This window comes from Homo sapiens, chromosome 9, assembly GCF_000001405.40.
Source record: "Homo sapiens chromosome 9, GRCh38.p14 Primary Assembly".
NCBI classification, from domain to species: domain Eukaryota; kingdom Metazoa; phylum Chordata; class Mammalia; order Primates; family Hominidae; genus Homo; species Homo sapiens.
In genome coordinates this window covers 44521648-44538517 of record NC_000009.12, presented here as the reverse complement: position 1 = coordinate 44538517, position 16870 = coordinate 44521648, and the positions used below count along the sequence as shown (strand labels likewise).

General features: G+C 37.4%; 1 annotated feature.

The window, feature by feature from the left end:
- Positions 1-16870: part of a centromere (Linear centromere model derived predominantly from reads generated in PMID: 17803354. This region does not represent an actual centromere sequence, as long-range ordering of repeats and unmapped WGS contigs is not provided by the model. For details of model production, see http://arxiv.org/abs/1307.0035.) that runs on past both edges of the window.

Here is a 16870-nt window from a genome sequence, read left to right as displayed (position 1 = left end):
AAGGTTCAACTCTGTTAGTTGAGGACACACATCGCAAATAAGTTTCTGAGAATGCTTCTGTCTAGTTTTTATTTGAAGATATTTCCTTTCTCACCATAGGCCTGAAAGCGTTTGAAATGTCCGTTTGCAGATACTACAGAAAGAGTGTTTCAAACATGCTCTATGAAAGGGAATGTTCAGTTCCGTGACGTGAATGCAAACATCACAAAGAAGTTCCTGAGAATGCTTCTCTCTAGAGTTTATATGTAATCCCGTTTCCAACGAAATCCTCAAAGCCATCCAAATATCCACTTTCAGATTCCACAAAAAGAGTGTTTCAAAACTGCTCTGTAAAAAGAAAGGTTCATCTCTGTTAGTTGAATACACACATCACAAACAAGTTTCTGAGAATGCTTCTGTCTAGTTTTTATGGGAAGATATTTCCTTTTTCAACATAGGCCTCAAAGCGCTCCAAACGTCCACTTCCGGGTAGTGCAGAAAGAGTGTCTCAAACCTGGTATATAACAGGGAACATTCTACTCTGTGACTTGAATGAAAACATCACAAAGCAGTTTCTGAGAATGCTTCTGTCTTGATTTCATATGAAGATATTCCCGTTTCCAACGAAACCTTCAAAGCTATCCAAATATCCACTTGCAGATTCTACAAAAAGAGTGTTTCCAAAATGTTGTATCAAAAGAAAGGTTCAACTCTGTTAGTTGAGGACACACATCGCAAATAAGTTTCTGAGAATGCTTCTGTCTAGTTTTTATTTGAAGATATTTCCTTTCTCACCACAGGCCTGAAAGCGCTTAAAACGTCCGCTTGCAGATACTACAGAAAGAGTGTTTCAAACCTGCTCTATGAAAGGGAATGTTCAGTTCTGTGACTTGAATGCAAACATCACAAAGAAGTTCCTGAGAATGCTTTCTCCCTAGATTTTATATGTAATCCCGTTTCCAACGAAATCCGCAAAGCTATCCAAATATCCACTTTCAGATTCCACAAAAAGAGTGTTTCAAAACTGCTCTGTAAAAAGAAAGGTTCATCTGTTAGTTGAATACACACATCACAAACAAGTTTCTGAGAATGCTTCTGTCTGGTTTTTAGGAGAAGATATTTCCTTTTTCAACATAGGCCTCAAAGCGCTGCAAATGTCCACTTCCAAATATTAGAAAAAGAGTGTTTCAAACCTGCTGTATGAAGGGAAGTGTTCAACTCTATGAGTTGAATGCAAACATCACAGAGAAGTTTCTGAGAATGCTTCTGTCTTGATTTCATATGAAGATATTCCCGTTTCCAACGAAACCTTCAAAGCTATCCAAATATCCACTTGCAGATTCTACAAAAAGAGTGTTTCCAAAATGTTGTATCAAAAGAAAGGTTCAACTCTGTTAGTTGAGGACACACATCGCAAATAAGTTTCTGAGAATGCTTCTGTCTAGTTTTTATTTGAAGATATTTCCTTTCTCACCACAGGCCTGAAAGCGCTTAAAACGTCCGCTTGCAGATACTACAGAAAGAGTGTTTCAAACCTGCTCTATGAAAGGGAATGTTCAGTTCTGTGACTTGAATGCAAACATCACAAAGAAGTTCCTGAGAATGCTTCTCCCTAGATTTTATATGTAATCCCGTTTCCAACGAAATCCGCAAAGCTATCCAAATATCCACTTTCAGATTCCACAAAAAGAGTGTTTCAAAACTGCTCTGTAAAAAGAAAGGTTCATCTCTGTTAGTTGAATACACACATCACAAACAAGTTTCTGAGAATGCTTCTGTCTAGTTTTTATGGGAAGATATTTCCTTTTTCATCATAGGCCTCAAAGCGCTGCAAATGTCCACTTCCAAATATTACAAAAAGAGTGTTTCAAACCTGCTGTATGAAGGGAAGTGTTCAACTCTATGAGTTGAATGCAAACATCACAGAGAAGTTTCTGAGAATGCTTCTGTCTTGATTTTATATGAAGATATTCCCGTTTCCAACGAAACCTTCAAAGCTATTCAAATATCCACTTGCAGATTCTACAAAAAGAGTGGTTCCAAAATGTTGTATCAAAAGAAAGGTTCAACTCTGATAGTTGAGGAAACACATCGCAAATAAGTTTCTGAGAATGCTTCTGTCTAGTTTTTATTTGAAGATATTTCCTTTCTCACCATAGGCCTGAAAGCGTTTGAAATGTCCGTTTGCAGATACTACAGAAAGAGTGTTTCAAACATGCTCTATGAAAGGGAATGTTCAGTTCTGTGACGTGAATGCAAACATCACAAAGAAGTTCCTGAGAATGCTTCTCTCTAGATTTTATATGTAATCCCGTTTCCAACGAAATCCTCAAAGCTATCCAAATATCCACTTTCAGATTCCACAAAAAGAGTGTTTCAAAACTGCTCTGTAAAAAGAAAGGTTCATCTCTGTTAGTTGAATACACACATCAAAAACAAGTTTCTGAGAATGCTTCTGTCTAGTTTTTATGGGAAGATATTTCCTTTTTCATCATAGGCCTCAAAGCGCTGCAAATGTCCACTTCCAGGTAGTGCAGAAAGAGTGTCTCAAACCTGGTATATAACAGGGAACATTCTACTCTGTGACTTGAATGAAAACATCACAAAGCAGTTTCTGAGAATGCTTCCGTCTAGATTTTATATGAAGATATTCCCGTTTCCAACGAAACCTTCAAAGCTATCCGAATATCCACCTGCAGATTCTACAAAAAGAGTGTTTCCAAAATGCCATATCAAAACAAAGGTTCAACTCTGTTAGTTGAGAACACACATCGCAAATAAGTTTCTGAGAATGCTTCTGTCTAGTTTTTACTTGAAGATATTTCCTTTCTCACCATAGGCCTGAAAGCGCTTGAAACGTCAGCTTGCAGATACTACAGAAAGAGTGTTTCAAACCTGCTCTATGAAAGGGAATGTTCAGTTCTGTGACTTGAATGCAAACATCACAAAGAAGTTCCTGAGAATGCTTCTGTCTAGATTTTATATGAAGATATCCCGTGTCCAACGAAATCCTCAAAGGTATCAAAATATCCACTTGCAGATTCTACAAAAAGAGTGCTTCAAAACTGCTCTGTCAAAAGGAAGGTTCAACTCTGTTACTTGAGTACACACATCACAAGGAAGTTTCTGAGAATGCTTCTGTCTGGTTTTTAGGAGAAGATATTTCCCTTTTCAACATAGGCCTCAAAGCGCTGCAAATGTCCACTTCCAAATATTAGAAAAAGAGTGTTTCAAACCTGCTGTATGAAGGGAAGTGTTCAACTCTATGAGTTGAATGCAAACATCACAGAGAAGTTTCTGAGAATGCTTCTGTCTTGATTTCATATGAAGATATTCCCGTTTCCAACGAAACCTTCAAAGCTATCCAAATATCCACTTGCAGATTCTACAAAAAGAGTGTTTCCAAAATGTTGTATCAAAAGAAAGGTTCAACTCTGTTAGTTGAGGACACACATCGCAAATAAGTTTCTGAGAATGCTTCTGTCTAGTTTTTATTTGAAGATATTTCCTTTCTCACCACAGGCCTGAAAGCGCTTAAAACGTCCGCTTGCAGATACTACAGAAAGAGTGTTTCAAACCTGCTCTATGAAAGGGAATGTTCAGTTCTGTGACTTGAATGCAAACATCACAAAGAAGTTCCTGAGAATGCTTCTCCCTAGATTTTATATGTAATCCCGTTTCCAACGAAATCCGCAAAGCTATCCAAATATCCACTTTCAGATTCCACAAAAAGAGTGTTTCAAAACTGCTCTGTAAAAAGAAAGGTTCATCTCTGTTAGTTGAATACACACATCACAAACAAGTTTCTGAGAATGCTTCTGTCTAGTTTTTATGGGAAGATATTTCCTTTTTCATCATAGGCCTCAAAGCGCTGCAAAGGTCCACTTCCAAATATTACAAAAAGAGTGTTTCAAACCTGCTGTATGAAGGGAAGTGTTCAACTCTATGAGTTGAATGCAAACATCACAGAGAAGTTTCTGAGAATGCTTCCGTCTTGATTTTATATGAAGATATTCCCGTTTCCAACGAAACCTTCAAAGCTATTCAAATATCCACTTGCTGATTCTACAAAAAGAGTGTTTCCAAAATGTTGTATCAAAAGAAAGGTTCAACTCTGTTAGTTGAGGACACACATCGCAAATAAGTTTCTGAGAATGCTTCTGTCTAGTTTTTACTTGAAGATATTTCCTTTCTCACCATAGGCCTGAAAGCGTTTGAAATGTCCGTTTGCAGATACTACAGAAAGAGTGTTTCAAACATGCTCTATGAAAGGGAATGTTCAGTTCTGTGACGTGAATGCAAACATCACAAAGAAGTTCCTGAGAATGCTTCTCTCTAGATTTTATATGTAATCCCGTTTCCAACGAAATCCTCAAAGATATCCAAATATCCACTTTCAGATTCCACAAAAAGAGTGTTTCAAAACTGCTCTGTAAAAAGAAAGGTTCATGTCTGTTAGTTGAATACACACATCACAAACAAATTTCTGAGAATGCTTCTGTCTAGTTTTTATGGGAAGATATTTCCTTTTTCATCATAGGCCTCAAAGCGCTCCAAATGTCCACTTCCAGATAGTGCAGAAAGAGTGTCTCAAACCTGGTATATAAAAGGGAACATTCTACTCTGTGACTGGAATGAAAACATCACAAAGCAGTTTCTGAGAATGCTTCCGTCTAGATTTTATATGAAGATATTCCCGTTTCCAACGAAACCTTCAAAGCTATCCGAATATCCACCTGCAGATTCTACAAAAAGAGTGTTTCCAAAATGCCATATCAAAACAAAGGTTCAACTCTGTTAGTTGAGAACACACATCGCAAATAAGTTTCTGAGAATGCTTCTGTCTAGTTTTTACTTGAAGATATTTCCTTTCTCACCATAGGCCTGAAAGCGCTTGAAACGTCAGCTTGCAGATACTACAGAAAGAGTGTTTCAAACCTGCTCTATGAAAGGGAATGTTCAGTTCTGTGACTTGAATGCAAACATCACAAAGAAGTTCCTGAGAATGCTTCTCTCTAGGTTTTATATGTAATCCCGTTTCCAACGAAATCCTCAAAGCTATCCAAATATCCACTTTCAGATTCCACAAAAAGAGTGTTTCAAAACTGCTCTGTAAAAAGAAAGGTTCATCTCTGTTAGTTGAATACACACATCACGAACAAGTTTCTGAGAATGCTTCTGTCTAGTTTTTATGGGAAGATATTTCCTTTTTCAACATAGGCCTCAAAGCGCTCCAAATGTCCACTTCCAGGTAGTGCAGAAAGAGTGTTTCAAACCTGCTCTATAAAAGGGAATATTCAACTCTGTGACTTGAATGCAAACATCACAAAGCACTTTCTGAGAATGCTTCTGTCTTGATTTTATATGAAGATATTCCCGTTTCCAACGAAACCTTCAAAGCTATCCAAATATCCACTTGCAGATTCTACAAAAAGAGTGTTTCCAAAATGTTGTATCAAAAGAAAGGTTCAACTCTGTTAGTTGAGGACACACATCGCAAATAAGTTTCTGAGAATGCTTCTGTCTAGTTTTTATTTGAAGATATTTCCTTTCTCACCACAGGCCTGAAAGCGCTTAAAACGTCCGCTTGCAGATACTACAGAAAGAGTGTTTCAAACCTGCTCTATGAAAGGTAATGTTCAGTTCTGTGACTTGAATGCAAACATCACAAAGAAGTTCCTGAGAATGCTTCTCTCTAGATTTTATATGTAATCCCGTTTCCAACGAAATCCTCAAAGCTATCCAAATATCCACTTTCAGATTCCACAAAAAGAGTGTTTCAAAACTGCTCTGTAAAAAGAAAGGTTCATCTCTGTTAGTTGAATACACACATCACAAACAAGTTTCTGAGAATGCTTCTGTCTAGTTTTTATGGGAAGATATTTCCTTTTTCATCATAGGCCTCAAAGCGCTGCAAATGTCCACTTCCAGGTAGTGCAGAAAGAGTGTCTGAAACCTGGTATATAACAGGGAAGATTCTACTCTGTGACTTGAATGAAAACATCACAAAGCAGTTTCTGAGAATGCTTCCGTCTAGATTTTATATGAAGATATTCCCGTTTCCAACGAAACCTTCAAAGCTATCCGAATATCCACCTGCAGATTCTACAAAAAGAGTGTTTCCAAAATGCCATATCAAAACAAAGGTTCAACTCTGTTAGTTGAGAACACACATCGCAAATAAGTTTCTGAGAATGCTTCTGTCTAGTTTTTATTTGAAGATATTTCCTTTCTCACCATAGGCCTGAAAGCGCTTGAAATGTCCGTTTGCAGATACTACAGAAAGAGTGTTTCAAACATGCTCTATGAAAGGGAATGTTCAGTTCTGTGACGTGAATGCAAACATCACAAAGAAGTTCCTGAGAATGCTTCTCTCTAGATTTTATATGTAATCCCGTTTCCAACGAAATCCTCAAAGCTATCCAAATATCCACTTTCAGATTCCACAAAAAGAGTGTTTCAAAACTGCTCTGTAAAAAGAAAGGTTCATCTCTGTTAGTTGAATACACACATCACAAACAAGTTTCTGAGAATGCTTCTGTCCAGTTTTTATGGGAAGATATTTCCTTTTTCATCATAGGCCTCAAAGCGCTGCAAATGTCCACTTCCAGGTAGTGCAGAAAGAGTGTCTCAAACCTGGTATATAACAGGGAACATTCTACTCTGTGACTTGAATGAAAACATCACAAAGCAGTTTCTGAGAATGCTTCCGTCTAGATTTTATATGAAGATATTCCCGTTTCCAACGAAACCTTCAAAGCTATCCGAATATCCACCTGCAGATTCTACAAAAAGAGTGTTTCCAAAATGCCATATCAAAACAAAGGTTCAACTCTGTTAGTTGAGAACACACATCGCAAATAAGTTTCTGAGAATGCTTCTGTCTAGTTTTTATTTGAAGATATTTCGTTTTTCACCACAGGTCTGAAAGCGCTTGAAACGTCCGCTTGCAGATACTACAGAAAGAGTGTTTCAAACATGCTCTATGAAAGGGAATGTTCAGTTCTGTGACTTGAATGCAAACATCACAAAGAAGTTCCTGAGAATGCTTCTCCCTAGATTTTATATGTAATCCCGTTTCCAACGAAATCCTCAAAGCTATCCAAATATCCACTTTCAGATTCCACAAAAAGAGTGTTTCAAAACTGCTCTGTAAAAAGAAAGGTTCATCTCTGTTAGTTGAATATACACATCACAAATAAGTTTCTGAGAATGCTTCTGTCTATTTTCTATGGGAAGATATTTCCTTTTTCAACATAGGCCTCAAAGCGCTCCAAATGTCCACTTCCAGGTAGTGCACAGAGTGTTTCAAACCTGCTCTATAAAAGGGAACATTCTACTCTGTGACTTGAATGAAGACATCACAAAGCAGTTTCTGAGAATGCTTCTGTCTTGATTTCATATGAAGATATTCCCGTTTACAACGAAACCTTCAAAGCTATCCAAATATCCACTTGCAGATTCTACAAAAAGAGTGTTTCCAAAATGTTGTATCAAAAGAAAGGTTCAACTCTGTTAGTTGAGGACACACATCGCAAATAAGTTTCTGAGAATGCTTCTGTCTAGTTTTTATTTGAAGATATTTCCTTTCTCACCACAGGCCTGAAAGCGCTTAAAACGTCCGCTTGCAGATACTACAGAAAGAGTGTTTCAAACCTGCTCTATGAAAGGGAATGTTCAGTTCTGTGACTTGAATGCAAACATCACAAAGAAGTTCCTGAGAATGCTTCTCCCTAGATTTTATATGTAATCCCGTTTCCAACGAAATCCGCAAAGCTATCCAAATATCCACTTTCAGATTCCACAAAAAGAGTGTTTCAAAACTGCTCTGTAAAAAGAAAGGTTCATCTCTGTTAGTTGAATACACACATCACAAACAAGTTTCTGAGAATGCTTCTGTCTAGTTTTTATGGGAAGATATTTCCTTTTTCATCATAGGCCTCAAAGCGCTCCAAATGTCCACTTCCAGGTAGTGCAGAAAGAGTGTCTCAAACCTGGTATATAAAAGGGAACATTCTACTCTGTGACTTGAATGAAAACATCACAAAGCAGTTTCTGAGAATGCTTCCGTCTAGATTTTATATGAAGATATTCCCGTTTCCAACGAAACCTTCAAAGCTATCCGAATATCCACCTGCAGATTCTAAAAAAAGAGTGTTTCCAAAATGCCATATCAAAACAATGGTTCAACTCTGTTAGTTGAGAAAACACATGGCAAATAAGTTTCTGAGAATGTTTCTGTCTAGTTTTTACTTGAAGATATTTCCTTTCTCACCATAGGCCTGAAAGTGCTTGAAACGTCAGCTTGCAGATACTACAGAAAGAGTGTTTCAAACCTGCTCTATGAAAGGGAATGTTCAGTTCTGTGACTTGAATGCAAACATCACAAAGAAGTTCCTGAGAATGCTTCTCTCTAGATTTTATATGTAATCCCGTTTCCAACGAAATCCTCAAAGCTATCCAAATATCCACTTTCAGATTCCACAAAAAGAGTGTTTCAAAACTGCTCTGTAAAAAGAAAGGTTCATCTCTGTTAGTTGAATACACACATCACAAACAAGTTTCTGAGAATGCTTCTGTCTGGTTTTTAGGAGAAGATATTTCCTTTTTCAACATAGGCCTCAAAGCGCTGCAAATGTCCACTTCCAAATATTAGAAAAAGAGTGTTTCAAACCTGCTGTATGAAGGGAAGTGTTCAACTCTATGAGTTGAATGCAAACATCACAGAGAAGTTTCTGAGAATGCTTTTGTCTTGATTTCATATGAAGATATTCCCGTTTCCAACGAAACCTTCAAAGCTATCCAAATATCCACTTGCAGATTCTACAAAAAGAGTGTTTCCAAAATGTTGTATCAAAAGAAAGGTTCAACTCTGTTAGTTGAGGACACACATCGCAAATAAGTTTCTGAGAATGCTTCTGTCTAGTTTTTATTTGAAGATATTTCCTTTCTCACCACAGGCCTGAAAGCGCTTAAAACGTCCGCTTGCAGATACTACAGAAAGAGTGTTTCAAACCTGCTCTATGAAAGGGAATGTTCAGTTCTGTGACTTGAATGCAAACATCACAAAGAAGTTCCTGAGAATGCTTCTCCCTAGATTTTATATGTAATCCCGTTTCCAACGAAATCCGCAAAGCTATCCAAATATCCACTTTCAGATTCCACAAAAAGAGTGTTTCAAAACTGCTCTGTAAAAAGAAAGGTTCATCTCTGTTAGTTGAATACACACATCACAAACAAGTTTCTGAGAATGCTTCTGTCTAGTTTTTATGGGAAGATATTTCCTTTTTCATCATAGGCCTCAAAGCGCTGCAAATGTCCACTTCCAAATATTACAAAAAGAGTGTTTCAAACCTGCTGTATGAAGGGAAGTGTTCAACTCTATGAGTTGAATGCAAACATCACAGAGAAGTTTCTGAGAATGCTGCTGTCTTGATTTTATATGAAGATATTCCCGTTTCCAACGAAACCTTCAAAGCTATCCAAATATCCACTTGCAGATTCTACAAAAAGAGTGTTTCCAAAATGTTGTATCAAAAGAAAGGTTCAACTCTGTTAGTTGAGGACACACATCGCAAATAAGTTTCTGAGAATGCTTCTGTCTAGTTTTTATTTGAAGATATTTCCTTTCTCACCACAGGCCTGAAAGCGCTTAAAACGTCCGCTTGCAGATACTACAGAAAGAGTGTTTCAAACCTGCTCTATGAAAGGGAATGTTCAGTTCTGTGACTTGAATGCAAACATCACAAAGAAGTTCCTGAGAATGCTTCTCCCTAGATTTTATATGTAATCCCGTTTCCAACGAAATCCGCAAAGCTATCCAAATATCCACTTTCAGATTCCACAAAAAGAGTGTTTCAAAACTGCTCTGTAAAAAGAAAGGTTCATCTCTGTTAGTTGAATACACACATCACAAACAAGTTTCTGAGAATGCTTCTGTCTGGTTTTTAGGAGAAGATATTTCCTTTTTCAACATAGGCCTCAAAGCGCTGCAAATGTCCACTTCCAAATATTAGAAAAAGAGTGTTTCAAACCTGCTGTATGAAGGGAAGTGTTCAACTCTATGAGTTGAATGCAAACATCACAGAGAAGTTTCTGAGAATGCTTCTGTCTTGATTTCATATGAAGATATTCCCGTTTCCAACGAAACCTTCAAAGCTATCCAAATATCCACTTGCAGATTCTACAAAAAGAGTGTTTCCAAAATGTTGTATCAAAAGAAAGGTTCAACTCTGTTAGTTGAGGACACACATCGCAAATAAGTTTCTGAGAATGCTTCTGTCTAGTTTTTATTTGAAGATATTTCTTTTCTCACCACAGGCCTGAAAGCGCTTAAAACGTCCGCTTGCAGATACTACAGAAAGAGTGTTTCAAACCTGCTCTATGAAAGGGAATGTTCAGTTCTGTGACTTGAATGCAAACATCACAAAGAAGTTCCTGAGAATGCTTCTCTCTAGGTTTTATATGTAATCCCGTTTCCAACGAAATGCTCAAAGCTATCCAAATATCCACTTTCAGATTCCACAAAAAGAGTGTTTCAAAACTGCTCTGTAAAAAGAAAGGTTCATCTCTGTTAGTTGAATACACACATCACAAACAAGTTTCTGAGAATGCTTCTGTCTAGTTTTTATGGGAAGATATTTCCTTTTTCAACATAGGCCTCAAAGCGCTCCAAACGTCCACTTCCAGGTAGTGCAGAAAGAGTGTCTCAAACCTGGTATATAACAGGGAACATTCTACTCTGTGACTTGAATGAAAACATCACAAAGCAGTTTCTGAGAATGCTTCCGTCTAGATTTTATATGAAGATATTCCCGTTTCCAACGAAACCTTCAAAGCTATCCGAATATCCACCTGCAGATTCTACAAAAAGAGTGTTTCCAAAATGCCGTATCAAAACAAAGGTTCAACTCTGTTAGTTGAGAACACACATGGCAAATAAGTTTCTGAGAATGCTTCTGTCTAGTTTTTACTTGAAGATATTTCCTTTCTCACCATAGGCCTGAAAGCGCTTGAAACGTCCGCTTGCGGATACTACAGAAAGAGTGTTTCAAACATGCTCTATGAAAGGGAATGTTCAGTTCTGTGACTTGAATGCAAACATCACAAAGAAGTTCCTGAGAATGCTTCTCTCTAGATTTTATATGTAATCCCGTTTCCAACGAAATCCGCAAAGCTATCCAAATATCCACTTTCAGATTCCACAAAAAGAGTGTTTCAAAACTGCTCTGTAAAAAGAAAGGTTCATCTCTGTTAGTTGAATACACACATCACAAACAAGTTTCTGAGAATGCTTCTGTCTAGTTTTTATGGGAAGATATTACCTTTTTCATCATAGGCCTCAAAGCGCTGCAAATGTCCACTTCCAAATATTACAAAAAGAGTGTTTCAAACCTGCTGTATGAAGGGAAGTGTTCAACTCTATGAGTTGAATGCAAACATCACAGAGAAGTTTCTGAGAATGCTTCCGTCTAGATTTTATATGAAAATATTCCCGTTTCCAACGAAACCTTCAAAGCTATCCGAATATCCACCTGCAGATTCTACAAAAAGAGTGTTTCCAAAATGCCGTATCAAAACAAAGGTTCAACTCTGTTAGTTGAGAACACACATGGCAAATAAGTTTCTGAGAATGCTTCTGTCTAGTTTTTACTTGAAGATATTTCCTTTGTCACCATAGGCCTGAAAGCGCTTGAAACGTCAGCTTGCAGATACTACAGAAGGAGTGTTTCAAACCTGCTCTATGAAAGGGAATGTTCAGTCCTGTGACTTGAAGGCAAACATCACAAAGAAGTTCCTGAGAATGCTTCTCTCTAGGTTTTATATGTAATCCCGTTTCCAACGAAATCCTCAAAGCTATCCAAATATCCACTTTCAGATTCCACAAAAAGAGTGTTTCAAAACTGCTCTGTAAAAAGAAAGGTTCATCTCTGTTAGTTGAATACACACATCACAAACAAGTTTCTGAGAATGCTTCTGTCTAGTTTTTATGGGAAGATATTTCCTTTTTCAACATAGGCCTCAAAGCGTTCCAAATGTCCACTTCCAGGTAGTGCAGAAAGAGTGTTTCAGACCTGCTCTATAAAAGGGAATATTCAACTCTGTGACTTGAATGCAAACATCACAAAGCACTTTCTGAGAATGCTTCCGTCTAGATTTTATATGAAGATATTCCCGTTTCCAAGGAAATCTTCCTAGCTATCTAAATATCAACTTGCAGATTCTACTAAAGGAATGTTTCCAAAATGCTGTATCCACACAAAGGTTCAACTCTGTTAATTGAGGACATACAGCACAAAGAAGTTTCTGAGAATGCTTCTGTCTAGATTTTATATGAAGATATCCCGTTTCCAAAGAAATCCTCAAAGGTATCCAAATATCTACTTCCAGATTCTACAAAAAGACTGTTTAAAACGGCTCTGTCCAAAGTAAGGTTCAACTCTGTTACTTGAGTACACACATCACAAGGAAGTTTCTGAGAATGCTTCTGTCTGGTTTTTAGGAGAAGATATTTCCTTTTTCAACATAGGCCTCAAAGCGCTGCAAATGTCCACTTCCAAATATTACAAAAAGAGTGTTTCAAACCTGCTCTATGAAGGGAAGTGTTCAACTCTATGAGTTGAATGCAAACATCACAGAGAAGTTTCTGAGAATGCTTCTGTCTTGATTTTATATGAAGATATTCCCGTTTCCAACGAAACCTTCAAAGCTATCCAAATCTCCACTTGCAGATTCTACAAAAAGAGTGTTTCCAAAATGTTGTATCAAAACAAAGGTTCAACTCTGTTAGTTGAGGACACACATCGCAAATAAGTTTCTGAGAATGCTTCTGTCTAGTTTTTATTTGAAGATATTTCCTTTCTTACCATAGGCCTGAAAGCGCTTGAAATGTCCGTTTGCAGATACTACAGAAAGAGTGTTTCAAACATGCTCTATGAAAGGGAATGTTCAGTTCTGTGACGTGAATGCAAACATCACAAAGAAGTTCCTGAGAATGCTTCTCTCTAGGTTTTATATGTAATCCCGTTTCCAACGAAATCCTCCAAGCTATCCAAATATCCACTTTCAGATTCCACAAAAAGAGTGTTTCAAAACTGCTCTGTAAAAAGAAAGGTTCATCTCTGTTAGTTGAATACACACATCACAAACAAGTTTCTGAGAATGCTTCTGTCTAGTTTTTATGGGAAGATATTTCCTTTTTCAACATAGGCCTCAAAGCGCTCCAAATGTCCACTTCCAGGTAGTGCAGAAAGAGTGTTTCAAACCTGCTCTATAAAAGGGAATATTCAACTCTGTGACTTGAATGCAAACATCACAAAGCACTTTCTGAGAATGCTTCTGTCTTGATTTTATATGAAGATTTTCCCGTTAACAACGAAACCTTCAAAGCTATCCAAATATCCACTTGGAGATTCTACAAAAAGAGTGTTTCCAAAATGTTGTATCCAAACAAAGGTTCAACTCTGTTAGTTGAGAACACACATCGCAAATAAGTTTCTGAGAATGCTTCTGTCTAGTTTTTATTTGAAGATATTTCCTTTCTCACCATAGGCCTGAAAGCGTTTGAAATGTCCGTTTGCAGATACTACAGAAAGAGTGTTTCAAACATGCTCTATGAAAGGGAATGTTCAGTTCTGTGACTTGAATGCAAACATCACAAAGAAGTTCCTGAGAATGCTTCTCTCTAGATTTTATATGTAATCCCGTTTCCAACGAAATCCTCAAAGCTATCCAAATATCCACTTTCAGATTCCACAAAAAGAGTGTTTCAAAACTGCTCTGTAAAAAGAAAGGTTCATCTCTGTTAGTTGAATACACACATCACAAACAAGTTTCTGAGAATGCTTCTGTCTAGTTTTTATGGGAAGATATTTCCTTTTTCAACATAGGCCTCAAAGCGCTCCAAATGTCCACTTCCAGGTAGTGCAGAAAGAGTGTTTCAAACCTGCTCTATAAAAGGGAAGATTCTACTCTGTGACTTGAATGCAAACATCACGAAAGCACTTTCTGAGAATGCTTCTGTCTTGATTTTATATGAAGATATTCCCGTTTCCAACGAAACCTTCAAAGCTATCCAAATATCCACTTGCAGATTCTACAAAAAGAGTGTTTCCAAAGTGCTGTATCCAAACAAAGGTTCAACTCTTTTAGTTGAGAACACACATCGCAAATAAGTTTCTGAGAATGCTTCTGTCTAGTTTTTACTTGAAGATATTTCCTTTTTCACCACAGGCCTGAAAACGCTTCAAACGTCCGCTTGCAGATACTACAGAAAGAGTGTTTCAAACCTGCTCTATGAAAGGGAATGTTCAGTTCTGTGACTTGAACGCAAACATCACAAAGAAGTTCCTGAGAATGCTTCTCCCTAGATTTTATATGTAATCCCGTTTCCAACGAAATCCGCAAAGCTATCCAAATATCCACTTTCAGATTCCACAAAAAGAGTGTTTCAAAACTGCTCTGTAAAAAGAAAGGTTCATCTCTGTTAGTTGAATACACACATCACAAACAAGTTTCTGAGAATGCTTCTGTCTAGTTTTTATGGGAAGATATTTCCTTTTTCAACATAGGCCTCAAAGCGCTCCAAATGTCCACTTCCAGGTAGTGCAGAAAGAGTGTTTCAAACCTGCTCTATAAAAGGGAATATTCAACTATGTGACTTGAATGGAAACATCACAAAGCACTTTCTGAGAATGCTTCCGTCTAGATTTTATATGAAGATATTCCCGTTTCCAAGGAAATCTTCCTAGCTATCTAAATATCAACTTGCATATCCTACTAAAGGAGTGTTTCCAAAATGCTGTATCCACACAAAGGTTCAACTCTGTTAATTGAGGACATACAGCACAAAGAAGTTTCTGAGAATGCTTCTGTCTAGTTTTTATTTGAAGATATTTCCTTTCTCACCATAGGCCTGAAAGCGTTTGAAATGTCCGTTTGCAGATACTACAGAAAGAGTGTTTCAAACATGTTCTATGAAAGGGAATGTTCAGTTCTGTGACGTGAATGCAAACATCACAAAGAAGTTCCTGAGAATGCTTCTCTCTAGATTTTATATGTAATCCCGTTTCCAACGAAATCCTCAAAGCTATCCAAATATCCACTTTCAGATTCCACAAAAAGAGTGTTTCAAAACTGCTCTGTAAAAAGAAAGGTTCATCTCTGTTAGTTGAATACACACATCACAAACAAGTTTCTGAGAATGCTTCTGTCTAGTTTTTATGGGAAGATATTTCCTTTTTCAACATAGGCCTCAAAGCGCTCCAAACGTCCACTTCCAGGTAGTGCAGAAAGAGTGTCTCAAACCTGGTATATAACAGGGAACATTCTACTCTGTGACTTGAATGAAAACATCACAAAGCAGTTTCTGAGAATGCTTCCGTCTAGATTTTATATGAAGATATTCCCGTTTCCAACGAAACTTTCAAAGCTATCCGAATATCCACCTGCAGATTCTACAAAAAGAGTGTTTCCAAAATGCCATATCAAAACAAAGGTTCAACTCTGTTAGTTGAGAACACACATGGCAAATAAGTTTCTGAGAATGCTTCTGTCTAGTTTTTACTTGAAGATATTTCCTTTCTCACCATAGGCCTGAAAGCGCTTGAAACGTCAGCTTGCAGATACTACAGAAAGAGTGTTTCAAACCTGCTCTATGAAAGGGAATGTTCAGTCCTGTGACTAGAAGGCAAACATCACAAAGAAGTTCCTGAGAATGCTTCTCTCTAGGTTTTATATGTAATCCCGTTTCCAACGAAATCCTCAAAGCTATCCAAATATCCACTTTCAGATTCCACAAAGAGAGTGTTTCAAAACTGCTCTGTAAAAAGAAAGGTTCATCTCTGTTAGTTGAATACACACATCACAAACAAGTTTCTGAGAATGCTTCTGTCTAGTTTTTATGGGAAGATATTTCCTTTTTCAACATAGGCCTCAAAGCGCTCCAAACGTCCACTTCCAGGTAGTGCAGAAAGAGTGTCTCAAACCTGGTATATAACAGGGAACATTCTACTCTGTGACTTGAATGAAAACATCACAAAGCAGTTTCTGAGAATGCTTCCGTCTAGATTTTATATGAAGATATTCCCGTTTCCAACGAAACCTTCAAAGCTATCCGAATATCCACCTGCAGATTCTACAAAAAGAGTGTTTCCAAAATGCCGTATCAAAACAAAGGTTCAACTCTGTTAGTTGAGAACACACATGGCAAATAAGTTTCTGAGAATGCTTCTGTCTAGTTTTTACTTGAAGATATTTCCTTTCTCACCATAGGCCTGAAAGCGCTTGAAACGTCAGCTTGCAGATACTACAGAAAGAGTGTTTCAAACCTGCTCTATGAAAGGGAATGTTCAGTTCTGTGACTTGAATGCAAACATCACAAAGAAGTTCCTGAGAATGCTTCTCTCTAGGTTTTATATGTAATCCCGTTTCCAACGAAATCCTCAAAGCTATCCAAATATCCACTTTCAGATTCCACAAAAAGAGTGTTTCAAAACTGCTCTGTAAAAAGAAAGGTTCATCTCTGTTAGTTGAATACACACATCACAAACAAGTTTCTGAGAATGCTTCTGTCTAGTTTTTATGGGAAGATATTTCCTTTTTCAACATAGGCCTCAAAGCGCTCCAAATGTCCACTTCCAGGTAGTGCAGAAAGAGTGTTTCAAACCTGCTCTATAAAAGGGAATATTCAACTCTGTGACTTGAATGCAAACATCACAAAGCACTTTCTGAGAATGCTTCCGTCTAGATTTTATATGAAGATATTCCCGTTTCCAAGGAAATCTTCCTAGCTATCTAAATATCAACTTGCAGATTCTACTAAAGGAATGTTTCCAAAATGCTGTATCCACACAAAGGTTCCACTCTGTTAATTGAGGACATACAGCACAAA